Raw genomic sequence first — 18623 nt, 5'->3', positions numbered from 1 at the left:
TGCAGGCATCTGGGGAAGGCAGTGAGACCTGAGTCCTAGAGGACTTCAAGAAGGGCAGATCTGGGTTCAAATCCGGGCTCGGCTCCTCACTAGCTACCTCCATGGCCTGGGGAAAAGCATGTTCACCATCCTGGTTCTGCTCTTCATCTTACAGCGAGTGCGTTCTCTACCTTATAGGGTTGTGAATGATGTCAAATGTGATGCTCTCATTGTCACCATAGGGAAGACTGTGATCGGATTTGAGGACAGGCTTTGGGTTTGGGCTGGCTACCAAGGTTTGGGGGCTTATGTTCCCTGGCCCAAGGAAGTCACTAAAAAAAGTACTAGAGGAAGGGTCTTGGGTGTGAGTTCTCTGTTAGAATTCATTTTCAGTGGGAGAGACAGGAGTTGAAGGTGATGTCAGTTTTCTCCTTACATTCAGGTAAGTTTTGGGGGTACTTTTAGTTTTATGGGCCAGGGTTGGGAAGGTGAAGAGGGAGTTGGAGTAGATGGCTCTCTTTCTGTCAGTTCTCTGGCTGGCCTCTGAGTCATCTGTGTGGCCTTGGTTATTGCTGGAAGCTGTGGCCCTTTCTATTGGAAGCGTAGCGTACTCGTAAGAAGGTCATTGTGCAGTCTTATTTTTACTTGTTTCTCTCTGTACTTGAATGGATGCAGATTTTAAAAATAGTTTTGAAGACAATCTTTTTAAATTTGTTACTTTATTGTTAATATATATTTTTAACTAGAGATGGCATCTCGCTCCATTATCAAAGCTGGCCCTGAACTCCTGGGCTCACTTGATTCTGCCTCAGGCTTCAGAGTAGCTGGGATTACAGGTGTGCGCCACTGTACCTGGCCTCACCATTCAGTCTTGAGAGGGCTGTCCATTGGTTAGGCCTTTAAGACAGAGTACAGGGTCTCGTTCTGGGGGCTCTTGAGGGGACGGTGGCTGGGAGGTGCTCTGGGTGAGGTGGAGCTGGAGAGGGCAAGGGAAGCATAGACGATGCCGTCATCCTGGGCGAGAACCCAGAGAGAAAGGGTTAGACAGTGGAGACGGAGCTGTTCCCATCTTAGCGGCAAGCCTACAGTTTGACTCTCCTGCCCACACCACACTCCCCTTCTCCCTTCCACCCCACCTTCTCCAGGCTTCTCTTTAATTCCTTCAGGCCCTGGTCTGATTGCTTACCTTGGGATTTAGCTTGGGATCTGTATTTTGTCCTAAGAATAAAAAGCAAGGTGTGCCAAGGTCAGGTGGCGTGACAGCCAGGGGAGAGAGATGGGCAGGGGGCTCTAGGAGTGAGGTTATCTGCTAGGTCAGGGCCAGGGTCACGTGAGGGCAAGGGGCAAGGAATGGAAAGAAGAAAATACTGACAGGGGCACGGACCCAGGTAGGGGGTATTTGGGGAAACAGGAAGTGCCAGGGGTAGAAACTGGGGAAGGATGGTGGTAAGGACTCACCTTCATTCCTGATATTCTCATATGGCTCCTCTGTGTTTTGGAAGGGTTCCCTGTATGGGAACAAGAGGACAGGAAATATGTTAGAGGTTGGGCATTTTAAGACATGGGCTGGGTGGTGGCACCTGTAATCCCAGCACTTTGGGAGACTGAGGCAGGTGGCCATTGCTTGATCCCAGGAGTACAAGACCAGCCTGGACAACATAGCGAGACCCCATCTCTACAATAAATACAAAAACTAGCCAGACGTAGTGGTGTGTGCCTGTGGTCACAGCTACTCAGGAGGCTGAGGTGGGAGGATCACTTGAGCCCAGGAGTTCAAGGCTGTGAGCTATGATTGCGCCACTGCACTCCAGCCTGGGTGACAGAGCGATACCCTCTCTCAAAAATTAAAAAAAAAAAAAATTGAAGAAAGAGTTATGACACGTGTTAGGGGTTGGTTCTCTTTGGGGAGTGCTCTGCAACCTGTCCACCCTGCTCAGGATGGGTGTGATGGTTTTAGACTCGGAGGCTGCTTGGAAGAGGAATTAGGGGCAATCTGTGTGGCTTAGCAGAGGTCCCTCGGTGCTCAGTGAGTTGGGTTCTTCTAGAGAAGTTGCTCGTATGAGAGAGGAACACGGAGAATAAAAATAGGAAAAAGGTCAATCCTTGCTTTCTCTCTGCTGGCGCTGCCTTGGCTAAAACTGGGAGAAGCAAAACAATTGCGTGAATTTCAGGTCTTCTGATCAGGGAGGGGTTCAGGCTGGGTGAATGGATAGAGAAGGGTTGGGGACAGGAGAAGGGCAGCTGGCAAAAGCCAGTGCAGGAGAAAGGGTAGGGGTGAGGCTTTCTTCCAGCAGGAGACCTACGGCTATGGAAAGGAGGGGCCAGAGGAAAGGAAAGAGAGGTGGGAGGGTGGAGAGGAAGAGCCCAGAAAAAGGAAAAGTGAGGCCCTAGCCTGGAGAGGGGAGCCAGGCAGAGGCTGGTGAGTCCCTCCTGAGCAAACACAGGCGGGGAGAGGAGCTGGAGGCAGAGGAAGCCTGGAGTTCCCTGCACATTCAGCAGGGGAACAGGACAGATTGAACAGAGTAGGCAATATGGAAAAGCTGGAAGATCCAGGCTGAGAGGAAGCAGGTAAAGAGCAGGAAAAGCTTAATAACACCAGGAAAGGCAGGCAGAGGGCACAGATGGGCACTCCAGAAAAGAGATTCTTGAATGTTTGTGCTGGAACCTGGAGTCCACTAGTCTAGTATTTAGGGGACAGAAAGCCCAAGGTCAAGAGCCTGGCCCCTAGAGGACAAAGGAGAACAAGGATGGGTAAGTTGGGGATGCAACAATGGCCGTGGCAGGCTGGGTTTGTGGGGTTCTTAGCAGCACACTCCCTGTTTCCCAAATCAGCCCACTGCCTGCACATGCACCCCCCAACCCACCCTGGGGAGGCCCAGCACTCACCTGGCTGGGGTTGTGGCTTTAGTCCGCTGCTGACCTGTAGGGGGACCAACAGTGAGTCAGGGTGGCATCCGGGTGATGGCAGTCTCCATCCCACCTTCTCTGCTGCGCCCTAGGCTGAGGCCCTCCTTAGAGGGACCGGAGCAGCAGAGCTGCTCCACCCAAACCCATCAGGAAGGGCCTGGGACTCAGCCGGCACCCTGAGGTCTCCACCTGTCCTCCCTGTTGTCTTCCATGTCACCTCCTGAGACCCCTTCACCCTGACCCCCTCCCTTGGTTTCTTTCTCTCTTGAGCTCTCTGCTCAGCCCCAACCTGGCTCCCTCCACCGCTGAGCCCTCGCCCAGTCACTTCTCCCCTCCCCTCCCCTTCCCTTGACATTGGCACCCCGCCCCCATTCCCTCCAGGTCCTCAGGGAGACCGTGCCTGTGCTTTCCTTCTGGGTGGCGGCTATGTCTGCCCTCCAGCCTTGGGAGCGTCGTGCTTGGGACTCATGTTTGTGGCTGTTCAAATTCTGTTGCCACCACTAGGCTTCCCCTCCCCTCTGGCTGGTCCCACCCTGAATCCTCTGCTGCCTCTCCCATTGTGTCCTGCCCCTCCCATCCCCGTGGCATCCTTGCAGTGTTTCCCAAGCAGTGGGCTCCTGGTCCACAGACATCCCCTCCACCATCTAGCCTCCTCCCAGGAGGGCTCCATGTCCACAGAGACACCCTCTGAACCCAGGCCTTGAGGTACCCCTCAACTCCAGGGACCTCCCCTTCCACTTCTACAGGACTTTTTTTTTTTTTTTTAATGTTTAGACTGAGAACTCTGAAATATTAATTGCTAGTATCATTTCCATGCTGCAGCTTTCTTTCCAGCACTCTTCTGTCCCTCTGTTTTTTCCCTCTCTTTAGGTTATGTTTTATTTTACTTACGGTAAAAAAAAAACAAAAAAACAAACAAAACACTAGAATTCACTTTTAACCACGTGTACAGTTCATTAGTGTTAAGTATATTCACACTGTTGTGAAACATCTCCAGGACCTTTTCATCTTGCAAAACTGAAACAGTTTTAAAGAACCCCTACTCCCTCCTCCCTGCGGTTTCTGACAGCCACCATTCTACTTTCTGTTCCTATTAATTTAATATCTCTAGGCACCACCGAAAAGTGGAATCATACAATATTTGTCATTTTGTGACTGCCTTATTTCACCTAGCTTGATGTCTTCCAGTTTCGTTTATACTGTAGTATGTGTCAGAATTTCTTTTTTTCTTTATTTTTTGAGACAGAGTTTCGCTCTTGTCACCCAGGCTGGAGTGCAGTGGTGTGATCTAGGCTCACTGTAACCTCTGCCTCTCTGGTTCAAGCGATTCTCCTGCCTCAAGCTCCCAAGTAGCTGAGATTACAGACGCCCATCACCAGGCCTGGGTAATTTTGTATTTTTAGTAGAGACAGGGTTTCACCACGTTGGTCATGCTGGTCTCGAACTCCTGACCTCAGGTGATCCACCCACCTTGGCCTCCCAAAGTGCTGGGATTACAGGTGTGAGCCACTGCACCTGGCCCAGAATTTCTTTTAAACACTGAATAATATTCCATTATATGTATAAACCACATTTTGTTCATCCATTCATTCATTGATGGACATCTGGGTTGCTTCCACCTCTTGGCCATTGAAAATAGTGTTGCTATCAACATGGGTGTATCAATATCTCTTCAAGACCTTTCTTTTCAGTTCTGTTTGGTATGTACCCAAAAGTGGGATTGCTGGATCGTATGGTAGCTTTATTTATTTATTTATTTATTTATTTTGAGATGAAGTCTCGCTCTGTCATCCAGGCTGGAGTGCAGTGGCACAATCTCAGCTCACTGCAACCTCTGCCTCCCGGGTTCAAGTGATTCTCCTGCCTCAGCCTCCTGAGTAGCTGGGATTACAGGTGCCCGCCACCACACCCAGCTAATTTTGTATTTTTAGTGGAAATGGTGTTTCACCATGTTGGCCAAGCTGGTCTCGAACTCCTGGCCTCAGGTGATCTGCCACCTCAGCCTCCCAAAGTGCTGGAATTTGAGGTGTGAGCCACCACTCCTGGCCTTTATTTTTAAATTTTTGAGGAAAGGCCATGCTTTTTTTCTGTATCATTTGCACTATTTTATAGCCCCCATCAACAGTGCGCAAGGGCCCCAATTTCTTCACATTCTTCCCAACACTTGTCATTTACACACTTTTTAAATAGTAGCTGTCCTTCTGGGTATAAGGAGATAGCTCTCTGTAGTTCTGATTTGCATTTCTCTGATGATTAGTTGGCCATTTTCATCTGCTTGTTGGTGATTTGTATACTGTCTTAGTCTATTTTGTGCTGCTAATGTATATAAGAATATCTGAGCCTGTATAATTTATAAAAAAACAAATTTGTTTCTTCTGTTGGACAAGAGGTTGCTGAAAAGTAAAACAAAGCAAAGCAAAGCAAAAATTATTTCTCACAGTTCTGGAGGCTGGGAAATCCAAGATCAAGGTGCCAGCATCTTGCTTTTTGCTGTGTCTTTCAGAGGGGAGGATTACTGTGTCCTCACATGGCAGAAGATTAGAAGACAGTGAACCCACTCCTGAAATCCCTTTTTATAATGGCATTAATCCGTTTGGCAGAGCCGTCATGACCTAAGCACCTCCCAAAACACACTACCTCCCAGTTGTCACACTGGGGACTAAGTTTCCAATACATGATTTGAGGAGACACATTTCAGACCATAGCATATATCATCTCTGGAGAAATGTCTGTTAAAATCCACTGCCCACTTTTAAATTGGGTTGATTTTTTTGTTGTTGAATTATAGGAATTTTTATATATTTCAGATTTTCACTCCTTATCAGATATATAATTTACAAATATTTTCCCCATTCTATAGGTTGCCTTTTGATTCTATTGATTGTGTCCTGTAATGAAAAAACATGTTTAAGTTTAATGTTGTCCTATTTGTCTATTTTTTCTTTTGTGGCTTGTGCTTTTGGTATCACAGGCAAGAAATTATTGCCAAACCCAGTGTCATGAGGCTTTTTCCCTATGGTTTGGGGTCTTACATTTAGGTCTTTAATCCATTTGGAGTTAAATTTTGTATATGGTATAAGATAAGGATCCAACTACATTCTTTGGTTTGGATATTCAGTTTTCCCAATGCCATTTGTTGAAGAGATTGTCCTTTGCCCATTAAGTGCTCATGGCACCCTTGTCAAGTCTTTTGACCATATGCGCAAGGGTTTATTTCTAGACTCTGTATTCTATTCCGTTGGTATATTAATCTATTTTTTTTCAATTCAGCTCCTTTTTTTTTTTTTTTTTTTTTTTTGAGATAGAATCTCACTCTGTCACCCAGGCTGGAGTGCAGTAGCACAATCTCGGCTCACTGCAACCTCCGCCTCCCAGGTTTGAGTGATTCTTGTGCCTGGCCCATGGTGTATAATTCTTTTGCCGTGCTGTTGAATTTGGTTTGCTGGTATTTTGTTGATGTTTACATCAATATTTATCAGAGTTATTGGTCTGTAGTTTGTTTTGTTTCTGTTTTTGTTTTTCTTGTAGTGTCTTTGTTTGGCTTTGGTATCATGGTAATGCTGACCTCACAGAATAAGCTTGGAAGCATTCCAGCTGTCTTTTGTCATTATGCCACTGTACCTGCTCTTAGACTTCATTGAACTCTTATCCCGTGATAATCTACTTTTCTACAGATTATTCAGACTCCCTGCTGACCCCTCTGCTCTTCATTCCTGCCTTCTCACTAGCTCCTTGACCTGTGATCTCCTGTCTTTCTGCCACACTTAGCTGGCAAGTCTCTAATCCTGGGGGTGTCTTATGGCAGAAATGGTATTTGATTACCCAATATCTATTCAATTATTCTTAGTTACAGAAAATTGATTGTATTTGGAGTGGGAGGGTTCCCCCTACAGATAGCTGTGGGATATGTGACCAAATTCTAGCCAATAAGATATAAACTGGGTCGGAGGGGCGGGGATCGGCTGTGTGGAGAGGGCCGGGGCTCTCACACGTGAAGAAGTTGTTGTTAGGTCTTTCAGAAAGACTCTTTAAAAGGGAACAGAGAGTTGAGGCATAGTATTTTTTTTTTCCTTTCTTCCTTCCTCCTATTTTTTGCCAGGAACCCAGAAATAGTGGCTGGAATCCTTGCAGCCGTCTTGGGCTATGAGGCAACCTTTGGGACAGAAGCCAGCATCAGGGCTGGTGAATCAGAAAGGTAGGAACCTGAGTGTCTAAGAACAGTGATGTGCTGTCTGCTTCCAGATCTGTTTACAAGAGGAAAAAAATAACCCAACTCTGTCTTGTTTAAGCTACTTTTACTTCTGGTCCCTGGTGGTAGCAACTGACAACAATTCCTGACCAACACAAATCACTAAGGTCTCAAAATCTGAATGGTTGACTACTGCTGGGGAAAAATGCAGCCATGCACAACACTGCTATCATAGATTTACAGTTTCGTATCTGAGCTGAATCCTCAAACTCCACTTCCCATTTCCTCAGTGACTATGTCAAACTTTCTCTTCAATTCCCTGACCCTCTTATTCATTCTCAGGAGAAAAGTGCTGTGGTTTTTGTTCTGCAGAATTAAAAAAAAAATCATAAGTGGTTGATTTTAATTTTTTTTTTTTTGTTTGAGACAGAGTCTCGCTCTATCACCCAGGCTGGAGTGCAGTGGTGTGATCTCAGCTCACTGCAGCCTTCACTTCCTAGGTTCAAGCGATTCTCATGCCTCAGCCCCCCAAGTAGCTGGGATTACAGGGGCGCATCACCATGCACAGCTAATTTTTATATTTCTAGTAGAGACGGGGTTTCACCATGTTGACCAGGCTGGTCTTGAACTCCTGACCTCAAGTGATTTGCCCACCTCGGCCTCCCAAAGTGGTAGGATTACAGGCATGAGCCACTGCACCTGGCCAGATTTTAATATTTTAATCCATGGCTTTGGGGCTTGGTCATACTGAGGAAGACTGTCTCTACTGCTTATGAAATAATCTCACATTTTCTTCTGGTACTAGGGTTATTTTTTTTCTCATTTAAATCTTTGATCCCTGTGGAATTTATTTTGGTACAAATTATGAGGTAAGGAGATAATGTTATTTTTTCTCAGATGGCTACTGAATAGTTCCAGCACCATTCATGGAATTACTCATCTTTCCTCATTGATTAGAAACATTTTAACCAACTAAATTCCCACATATATTTGGGTCTCTTTTCATTCTGTTATACCTAGGTTTTCCTCTTTTCTTCCATTGCTTTATCTGTGTATGAATATGCCAATATTGTACTGTTTTGTCTTTTAAATGTATTCATACGATGGTGCTCCCATGAGAGCCAGTGTTCCCTGGTTTAATGCCCACTGTTTAGTCATTCTAACTGCTGATGCTCCTGTGGCACACCCTCTGCAAGATCTAAACACAGTACATTTAATCATCAGGACAACCCCACGTAGGTACTATCTTCACTCCCTTTGCCCATGAGGAAGGTGAGGTGCACAGCCTTTGTACCAACAAGGCTGTTTCCCTGGCGAAGGTGTGAGGCCAGGATCTGACTGCAGGCAGCCCCAACCCCATGCTCCTCCCCTCTGTGCTTTCATAGCTGATAGGGCAAATCTCCTTGCACTCTGTCACCCAGGCTGGAGTGCAGTGGTACTCTCTCAGTTCATTGCAACCTCTGCCTCCCAAGCTCAAGCAATTCTTCCACCTCAGCCTCTCCAGTAGTTGGAACTACAGGTGCGTACCACCACACTTGGCTAAGTTTTGTATTTTTAGTAGAGACAGGGTTTCACCACATTGGCCAGGTTGGTCTCACACTCCTGGGCTCAACTGATCTGCCCAGCCTGGCCTCCCAAAGTGCTGGGATTACAGGCGTGAGCGGGAGCCATCATGCCTAGCCCATTGCAAACATTCTTGATGGTAACTTCAGATCAGGTTTGGAGGATGTTGGGGTGGAACTCATTAATGCCTCAGGCCTTGTCCTCTCTTTTGAACTGTAAATGTGTACTCTGAGTTTCCAATGGACAACTCTGCTGAGATGCCACACATGGATCTCCAGTGTAACAGATCCCAAATTAAATGAGGCATCGTTCCCCTCCAAGCATGATCTCCTCTCTTCCCCATTGTACTTGGTGATTTCATTACAGCCTCATCCACTCAAGTGGAAACAGGGGCTTATTCCTGCTCCCTCGCCCCTACATCAATCTAACAATCAACTTATTTATTTATTTATTGAGATAAGGTTTTGCTCTGTCAGCCAGGCTGCAGTGTAGTGGCACAATCATGGCTCACTGCAGCCTCGACCTCCCAGGCTCAAGCAGTCTTCTCACTTCAGCCTCTGGAGTAGCTGGGACCACAGGCGCACGCCACCACACCCAGCTAATTTTTGTATTTTCTGTAGATACGGGGTTTTGCAAAGTTGCCCAGGCTGGTCTTGAACTCCTTGGCTCAAGAGATTCTCCTGCCTTGGCCTCCCAAAGTGTTGAGATTACAGGCATGAGCCACCCTGCCCAACCAACCAAGTGTCATTTATAAAAAATTTTTTTTAAATTATTTTTATATTTAGTTGGAGATAGTTTGCTCCGTCTCCCAGGCTGGAGTGCAGTGGTGAAATCACAGCTCATTGTAACCTTAAACTCCTGGGCTCAAGCAATCCTCACATCTCAGCCTCCCAGTAGCTGGTACCACAGGCACAGGCTACCATGCCCAGCTAATAATAATAATAATAATAATAATTATTATTATTATTATTATTGTTATTATTATTTTGTAGAGACAGGGTCTCCCTGTGTTGCCCAGGTTGGTATCAAACTCCTGGGCTCAAGAAATCCTCTTGCCTCAGCCTCCCAGAGTGCTGGGATTACAGGCGTGAGCCACCTCAACGCACCTCACCTCTTTGGTTTTATTACTTAATCTTTTCCAGGATCTGGCCCTTTTCCTCTTTCCACCTCACCCCTGCACTGCACTGACCCAGCCTGGCCCACCTCTGGCCACTCCTCCATAGACTGAGGTCTCTCACGGTAGCTGAGGTCACCCTTTACTGCTTCATGCTGCCTCTGGGATCAGAGGCTCTTGGGTGTGATTTCCAAGGTCCTCTCCTTTCCTGCCTCCTCCACCAGCACTGAGCTTCCTGCAGCTCCTGGAATGGTTTCCTCCACCCACAAGGAAAGTGAGTGACCTCTACACCACCCTCACCACTTGCCAGGCTAATTCTTTTTCTTCTTTGAGACTTTTGCATATATCACCTCTGGGAAGTCCTCTCTGATTACCTCTCCTTCTTCCCACCCTTATTAAGTGCTACCATAGTTCTTTCTCAATGAAGCAATTAGTCCTTGAGGCAACTGAAAACCCCACACCCCTAGTTCCCTGAGAGCAGAGTCTATGGTTTATGCTTTATCTACTTTGCTTCTGCAGTTTCAAGCCAGGCCGTGGCAGGTGGGCAGTTGGCCAGTGCCTGCTGAGCTCAGCTTACTTCTGGTCCCTTCTGCTCTCTCTCTCCTTTTCCCAGGGCAGACCCTCCCCTCTCCTCCCCAGGAACCTTCAGGGGAGGTAGATGAGTGATGACTGAGAGAGAAGAACTAGGGGGGGATCGGCTGTGTGAAAAGGGCTGTGGGCTCTCACATGTGACCCTGCCCCGCCCCACTGCAGGAGCCTCACAAATGCAGACACCTCAGCATAGGCCACGAAGTCGGCCTCGGTGGGCTTGAGGGGAGCCAGCAGGGTCTGCATATTTCAGGAGCCCCATAGCTGCAGGTGGGCTTTGAGAAACCCCCAGATGGGAGGCTTGGGGAGAGGGCGGGTCCTGGGCACTTACCTTTCCTTCTCCTCCACCTGAGGAGGCAGATCAGTCCCAAAATCATGATTCCGAGCACAGTGACAGCCACTGCCACCCCCACAGCAGTCTCCAGACTTATGTGCCAAGAGTCTGAGCGTCGTTTGCCCTGTGTGACCCTGAGGCCGGTTGTGGTGGTTGTGCTACTGAGCCTCCAGGTGGTAGTCATGCTGCTGGGCCTCTGGGTGGTGGTCGTGACAGCTGGGGAGAGATGAGGAATGAGCAGACCCTCCCCTGGGGGCACAGGGTGTCTGGGTGAAAGGCGTGGTGTGCTGCTTTCTAGGTTGGGGGACATTAGTGGTGAGGGAGCTCCTCTCTGAAGCCCACACAGGGAGCGGGGAACAGGGTGAAATGTTAACAGCTTTCAATGCAGACGACTCAGTTCATTTTATATTATTTTTCCTTTCCTTCTTTTCCTTTCCTTTCCTTTCCTTTCCTTCCTCTCTCCCTCCCTCCCTCCTTCCTTCTTTCCTTCATTCCTTTCTTCCTTCCTTCCATTTCTTCCTTCCTTTAATTTTATTTCTTCCTCCTCAAATTCAGCTTAACAGGCAACTCAGTTTAAATCCGATTCTATACCAGTTATCAGCAGGGTGACCTCAGAACCTCATCTCCTCACTCACAAATAGGGATAACTAAATCACAGGATCAAAAAAAGTCTATTGTTGCCAATACAGGTAACATAAAATATGTCATTTTAACCATTTCTACATGCACCGTTCAGTGGCATCAAGCACATTCACAGTGCTGTGCAACCATCACACCATCCAACTCCAGAACCCTTGCATCTTCCTCAATGGAAACATTTTTTTTAAGTTAAAAATTTATTGACATTCTGATTGTGAAAAACTCTAATATTACTTTTAATTTATAATAGGAGTTACTTCCCAAAAATGTTAATCACAGATGAATTGAAAGAGTCTTTGGGATTTCACCCATTTCACAGCCCCACGTCTTAACGGAGTGCTTTTTTATTTATTTCAAGATATAGAAATCTCTACTGAAGAGGAAAAGGATACTGGAGATCTAAAAGATAGCTCTCTCTTGAAAACAAAAAGGAAACATAAGAAAAAACATAAAGAGAGACATAAAATGGGAGAAGAAATTATACCATTAAGAGTACTATCAAAGTAAGTCTGTGGTTTAAATTCTGTCATTGGCTTAACAATCCACCTCAATGGAAACATTTCACGTGTTAAACAACTCCTCATTCCTGTGTCCCCACCCTTCTACCCCTCTACTTTCTGTCTCCATGAGTTTGACTAAATACTTCATATTAGCTGAATCATACAGTGTGTTTTTACAGGATTGTCTTTTTTTTTTTTTTTTTTTTTTTTTTTTTGAGACGGAGGCTCGCTCTGTCACCCAGGCTGGATGGAGTGCAGTGGTGCAGCCTCGGCTCACTGCAACCTCCGCCTCCCAAGTTCAAGTGATTCTCCTACCTCAGCCTCCCGAGTAGCTAGGATCACAGGCACATGCCACCATGCCCAGCTAATTTTTGTATTTTTTTTTTCTTTTTTTAGTAGAAACGGGGTTTCACCATGTTGGCCAGGCTGGTCTCCAACTCCTGACTTCAGGTGATCTGCCCGCCTCAGCTTCCTAAAGTGTTGGGATTATAGGTGTGAGCCACTGTGCCAAGCCAGGATTGTCTTAATAAGTGAGAACACATCTGTAAAAAACCTACTGTATATTGAAAATATGTTTTTAAGGTCACATTAATATATATTGACCTTCACATCCTACAAACAAGTTACACCTTCTTTATAGATGTTTCACGCACCCTTAAAAAATTGACATAGTACTCAGCCACAGGACAAAAAAATCAGGCTCCTTAATGTCTTCAAGTTAGTATGAACTAAAATCTTCATCCACTCTTAAGAGAAAGTAATAAAAGTGTAAATGCTATGTCTTGATTGGGAATTTTAAAATGTTTTAATTACTTAAAGGAAAACATGTATAATAACATACTGTTTAGAAAATAAAAACTAGAGTAATACATATTTTAAAAAAGAACCCTGGAGTATGACTAAAGCAACACTCTAAGCTAAATTCATTGTATGAAATGGATTTATTACTTAAAATGGGAAGAAATTTTTAAAACAAATAAAATATTCAGTTTCCAAAGAAAAAACCCCAAACAGGAGGAGCCAGCTGTAAAGAAACTCAGAGGAAGAAAGTAATGAAAAGTTACGTAGGAATAAATTAGGGAACAGATAGCCACAGGCAAAATAAATGCAGAAACTGGTTATTTAAAGGAGCAACAAGAAGAAGATAGACAAGACTAGCAAACCTAATGACAACAAAAGCCAGCTGCAGTCACGAGTGGGTATATGCTCAATTATATGTTGTTAAATGTTAAAATATCTGTGAAATGGGTGTCTTTTGGGTTTTTTGGACACCGTCTTGCTCTGTTGCCCAAGCTGGGGTGCGCAATCGTACCTCACTGCAGCCTCCACCTCCTGGGCTCAAGTGATCCTCCCACCTCAACCTCCTGATTAGCTGGGACTACAAGCATGAACCTCTGAGCCAGGCCTGGGTGATATTTTTAAAAATTGATTTAAGAACTAGTATACCTTGGGGCCAGGCACAGTGGCTCATGCCTGTAATCCCAACACTTTGAGAAGCTGAGGTGAGCAGATCACCTGAGGTCAGGAGTTTGAGAGCAGCCTGGCCAACATGGTGAAAGCCCATCTCTACTAAAAATACAAAAATTAGCTGGGTGTGGTGGCGGGTGCCTGTAATCCCAGCTACTTGGGAGGCTGAGGCAGGATAATCACTTGAACCTGGGAGGCGGAGGTTGCAGTGAGCCAAGATCATGCTACTGTACCCCAGCCTGGGTGACAGAGCAAGATTCTGTCTCAAACGAAGAAGTAGTATATACCTTAACTCATTTATGCCTAGTGTTCTATTATTAGAACGCTAAGTTTGTGGGAGTTATTTATATCCTACTGCTCAAGGTCATCGCCAAGTTCTGATCTTTCACACAAAAAATTTGCAGCCTCTGGCGTAAATGAGTTAACTGATCATTAGACAGAGAAGAAATGAGAATGCTATGCAAGAACTACCTTTCATAAGGTCTCCATGCTTAGGAAGTTTTAAAAAGAAATTCTTGTAAAAATTTAAGGAACATAGAATTCTCACATAGAAGTTTCCAGAACATAAAGATGGAAAACTATGCAATTTGAATCCATTTCATAAAATGATTCCATAATCCTAATGCTAATATCCATTCAAAAGTTTTTTGGTCGTTTTTTTTTTTTTAAAGCTGGGCACTGTGGCTCATGCCTGTAATCTCAGCACTTTTGGAGGCCGAGGTGGGCAGATCACTTGAGCCCAGGAGTTTTGAGACCAGCCTGGGCAGCACAGTGAGACCCCCGCTCCCCCTGGTCCCTATGATAAATACAAAAATTAGCTGGGTGTGGTGGCACATGCCTATAGTCCCAGCTACTCAGGAGCCTCAGGAGGAGGATCGCTTGAGCCCAGGAGGTTGAGGCTGCAGTGATCTATGATTGTGCCACTGCACTCCAGTCTGGGCAACAGAGAGAGACCCTGTCTCAAAACCAAAATTTTTGTGTTTTGTTTTTTTTTTTGACATAGTGTCACTCTGTCAACAACAACAAAGTGCAGTGGTACAATCTCGGCTCACTGCAACCTCCAACTCCCTGCTTCAAGGGATTCTCGTGTCTCAGCCTCCCAAATAGTTGGGATTGCAGGTGCATGCCACCACACCTGGCTAATTTCTGGGACAGGGATTAAATAAATTATGATACATCACTACCATGGGATGCATGCGGCCATTTAAAAAGGCATTGCTGATTCAGAGCACAATGACTAGGAGTTAGCCCTGCTCTGCGAAGAGCAGCTAAAAAATTTTTTTAAATGGCCAGACGCAGTGGCTTGTGCCTGTAATCCCAGCACTTTGGGAGGCCAAGGCAGGTGGATCATCTGAGGTCAGGAATCAGACCAGCCTGGCCAACTTGGTGAAACTACAAAAATTAGGTGGGCATGGTGACACGTGCTTGTAATCCCAGCTACTGGGGAGGCTGAGGCAGGAGAATCACTTGAACCCAGGAGGCAGAGATTGCAGTGAGCTGAGATCGTGCCACCTCATCCAGCCTTGGTGACAAGATTGAAACTCCGTCTCAAAAAAAAAAAAAGACATAGGCCGGGTGTGGTGGCTCACGCCTGTAATCCCAGCACTGTGGGAGGCTGAGGTGGGTGGGTCACTTAAGGTCAGGAGTCTGAGACCAGCCTGACCAACATGGTGAAACCCTATCTCTACTAAAAATACAAAATTAGCCAGGTGCGGTGGCACATGGCTATAATCCCAGCTGCTTGGGAGGCTGAGGCAGGAGAATCGCATGAACCCGGGAGGCAGAGGTTGCAGTGAGCCAAGATCATGTCATTGCACTCCAGCCTGGGCAACAAGAGCAAAACTCCATCTCAAAATAAATAAATAAAAATAAAAAATAAAAAGACATAGATGTATATATACTGGAATGAAAGAGATTCAAGTTACTTTAAGTAAAAATAGCAATTTCTAGAGCAGCATAGTATGTGGTTTAATTCCATTTGTGTTGTATGTCTGTATCTGTGAGAGAACACTTCCACACAAAGTGGTAGGGACTGGGGAGATTAGGTGAATGTTACATTTTATTTGACTTCCTTCTGTATTTTTTTAAATTATGTGTAAGTATTACCAGTACTTTTATTAGTTTTTAAATTTAACACTTTTTCCAAGTACAATCAAGTACAAGTACAAGATACAATCGCATCAAGTACAAGATACAATCGGCACATAATTCAGACCCAACAAATTTCACACAACTTAGAAAAAAACAGCAGCCTCCTGCACCTGCCTCCTCACTCCCTTCCAACTCCCCAGAGGCAACTATTTTCAGCAACTTTAGCTATTTATTTTTGTGTTAACCTTCTATTTCTAAACAGCATGCGAATATTGCTGTTGCTTGATTTGCTTGTTTTAGATGGTATCTACTCACTTCCTACTATTGACATGGAGAATTTAGATCTTAAACCCCCATTTTCTTTATCTGACTCAGCTTTTCAGCATTTGATACTCCTCACTCTCCCTTTTGTGAAGTGAGTTATTCACTTGGCTTCTGGGACACCATCTCCCTTGGTTCTCCTGCCTCACTCTTACTTAGCTCCTTCTGAGACGTCTCTGTTGATTTCTCTTCATCTGCCCAAACCTAATGTCAGGGCCCAGTCCTAAAACTTCCTCTCTAGCCACACTCACTTCCCAGATGATCTCATTCACTGTGTGACATTAAATATCAGTGGTATCCTGATTGGTCTTCCTCTGTCGCCCAAGCTGGAACGCAATAGTGCAACCGTGGCTCACTGCAGCCTCCAACTCCTGGGCTCAAGCGATCTTCCCACCTCACCCTCCTGAGTAGCTGAGACTACAGGTGCACACCACCATGCCCAGATAATTTTTAAAAAAAAATTTTTTTGTGGATAGCCTGAGCAATATGGTGAAACCCCATCTCTACTAAAAATGAAAAAAAATTAGCCAGGTGTGGTAGTGCTCCCCTGCAGTCCTAGCTACTCAGGAGGCCGGGGTTGCAGTGAGCCAAGATCATGCCACTGCACTCCAGCCTGGGTGACAGAGTGAGACTCCGTCTCAAAAAAAAAAAAAAAATTTTTTTTTTTTTTTTTGGTAGAGACGGGGTTCCATTATGTTGCCCAGGCTGGGTTCCAAGTTGATATATCCAGCCAATTTTCCCCCTGCACTCTAGACTCAGAGATCTACCTGTTCACACCTCCATTTGTATGTCTAGTAACGACTCAAACGTAAGATGTCCAAAACAGAGTTCTTGATTTCCCCCTAAACCCGTTCTTCCGTTTCCCCCACTCAGTAAATGGCAATTCTGTCCTTCAAGATGCTCAGGCCAAGGACCTTAGAGTCATCCTTCCTTTCCTCCCTCTCATACCCCACATCCAATCCATCTGCAAATCCTGTCTGCCCTGTCTTCAAAATATAACCAGTATCAGCCAACTCTCACCTCGTGCACTGCCATCTCGCTAAGCCAAGCTGCGTCCTCTCTCCCCAGTCTCCCTGCTTCTGACTTCGCTCACCTATAATTTTTTCCTCCATACCATAGCGAGAGGGATGCTTTTAAGCTGTGAGTTGGGGCCGGGCATGGAGGCTTACGCCTGTAATCCCAGCACTTTGGGAGGCCGAGGCAGGCGGATCACCTGAAGTCAACAGTTCGAGACCAGCCTGGCCAACATGGTGAAACCCTGTCTCTACTAAAAACATAAAAATTAGCCGGGTGTGGTGGCAGGTACCTGTAATCCCAGCTACTCAGGAGGCTGATGCAGGAGAATCCCTTGAACCCAGGAGGCAAGAGGTTCAGTGACCGAAGACCATGCTACTGCACTCCAGCCTGGGCGACAGAGCGAGACTCCATCACAAAAAAATTAAAAAAAAAAAAAAAGTGTGAGTCAGATCTCAGCACTCCTGCAGGAAACGCTCCTTCGCTCCCATGGCACTCAGAGCAAAAGTGAGTTGTTTCCTTGGCTTTCAAAGCCACACAGGATCTTCCCCGCCTCCTTCCACCCTCTGCCTCTTCCCTGTCTTCAGCCACACTTGTCCCATGTGACTGGAACATTCTTCTCCCAACCTCCCCATTACGTTCTACCAATCAGTGTCTAGCTTGGATCTTCCTGGGGCTTCTCCAGGTCTGCTCCCAGTTCTTCTATCCCTGCGTTGTGCCTTTGGAGCTGGCCTTGGAGGACCCCATCTGTGGGCTCGGGTGCCCTGTAACAACTTCTGACTCCAGAGGCCACAGTTCCTCTCTACACATTTCTGTCTTCTCTGGGCTCCCGTCTCTTGCTTTTCAGAGGCCTGCTGCTGGTCCCAGGGTACCTCCCCGTCCCTGACTGGTTTCCCCAAGTGTGCCTCACTCTAAGGTCTCCCCAGTTACCCTACACCAGGCTCTGCTTCATCTCACAGCAGCCTTCCCTGTTCAATGTGAATACAGGGCCACCCTTAGCAATCTCTGTCCCACTCACTCCAGTTCTACTCTTTTCTCTTTTCACCATCACCTGACACAAACAGAATTGATCCATTTGTGTCCAGAATTGGTGAGTGCTCAGTCTCACTGACTTCAAGAATGAAGCCACGGACGCTTGCAGTTTGAGTGTTAACAATTCTTAAAGGCGGCGTGTCCGGAGTTTGTTCCTTCTGATGTTTGGATGTGTTCAGAGTTTCTTCCTTTTTATGGGTTCGTGGTCTCGCTGGCTTCCAGAGTGAAGCTACAAACCTTCACGGTGAGTGTTACAGCTCATAAAGGTCAGTGTGGACCCAAAGAGCAAGCAGCAGCAAGACTTAGTGCAAAAAGCAAAAGCAAAAAAAAGAAACTTTCCACACCGTAGAAGAGAACCAGAGCCAGTTGATACTGCTCAGGGGGGCAGCCTGCTTTTATTCCCTTACCTGGCACCACCCACATCCTGCTGATTGGTCTATTTTACAGAGAGCCGATTGGTCTGTTTTACAGAGAGCTGATTGGTCCGTTTTGACAGGGTGCTGATTGTTGCATTTACAATCCCTGAGCTAGACACAAAAGTTCTCCAAGTCCCCACTAAATTAGCTAGACACAGAGCGCTGATTGGTGCATTCACAAACCTTGAGCTAGATACAGAGTGGTGATTGGTGTACTTACAATCCCTTAGCTAGACATAAAGGTCCTCCAAGTCCTCACTAGATTAGCTAGATACAGAGTGCCAATTGGTGCATATGCAAACCCTGAGCTAGACACAGGGTACTGATTGGTGCATTCACAAACCTTGACGTAGATACAGAGTGCTGATTGGTGTATTTACAATCTCTTAGCTAGACATAAAGGTTTCTCCAAGTCCCCACTAGACTCAGGAGCCCAGCTGGCTTCACCCATTGGATCCCCAACCAGGCA

General features: G+C 46.0%; 1 protein-coding gene across 5 annotated transcripts in view, besides 2 other annotated features; it reads right to left on the bottom strand.

Moving 5' to 3' along the window:
• Positions 682-18623, bottom strand: part of PILRA (paired immunoglobin like type 2 receptor alpha) — a 28806-nt gene continuing 10864 nt past the window's right edge. For 3 of the 5 annotated variants that reach the window (XM_047420292.1, XM_047420291.1, NM_013439.3), the window contains 5 exons: positions 10672-10890; positions 2866-2899; positions 1438-1487; positions 1166-1197; positions 682-993 (listed from right to left, as the gene is read on the bottom strand). In XM_047420292.1, the coding sequence (XP_047276248.1) occupies positions 871-993; positions 1166-1197; positions 1438-1487; positions 2866-2899; positions 10672-10890 (458 nt within the window). In that variant the 3' untranslated portion in view covers positions 682-870. The remainder of the gene's footprint in view (positions 994-1165; positions 1198-1437; positions 1488-2865; positions 2900-10671; positions 10891-18623) is intronic. The other 2 variants (NM_178272.2, NM_178273.2) reach the window with 2 other exon arrangements.
• Positions 2507-3006: an enhancer, noted in NCBI's record as "H3K4me1 hESC enhancer chr7:99995395-99995894 (GRCh37/hg19 assembly coordinates)". NCBI's record gives its function as "activates a minimal SCP1, AML or CMV promoter by ChIP-STARR-seq in naive H9 embryonic stem cells {active_cell/tissue: H9 hESC(naive)}" and the evidence as "EXISTENCE:reporter gene assay evidence [ECO:0000049][PMID:30033119]".
• Positions 3874-3923: an enhancer, noted in NCBI's record as "active region_26361". NCBI's record gives its function as "activates an Ori minimal core promoter by ATAC-STARR-seq in GM12878 lymphoblastoid cells {active_cell/tissue: GM12878}" and the evidence as "EXISTENCE:reporter gene assay evidence [ECO:0000049][PMID:35858748]".

This window comes from Homo sapiens, chromosome 7 (assembly GCF_000001405.40).
Source record: "Homo sapiens chromosome 7, GRCh38.p14 Primary Assembly".
Taxonomy (NCBI): domain Eukaryota; kingdom Metazoa; phylum Chordata; class Mammalia; order Primates; family Hominidae; genus Homo; species Homo sapiens.
Note: the sequence above shows the minus strand (reverse complement) of the source record. Positions and strands in the feature narration are given on the sequence as shown.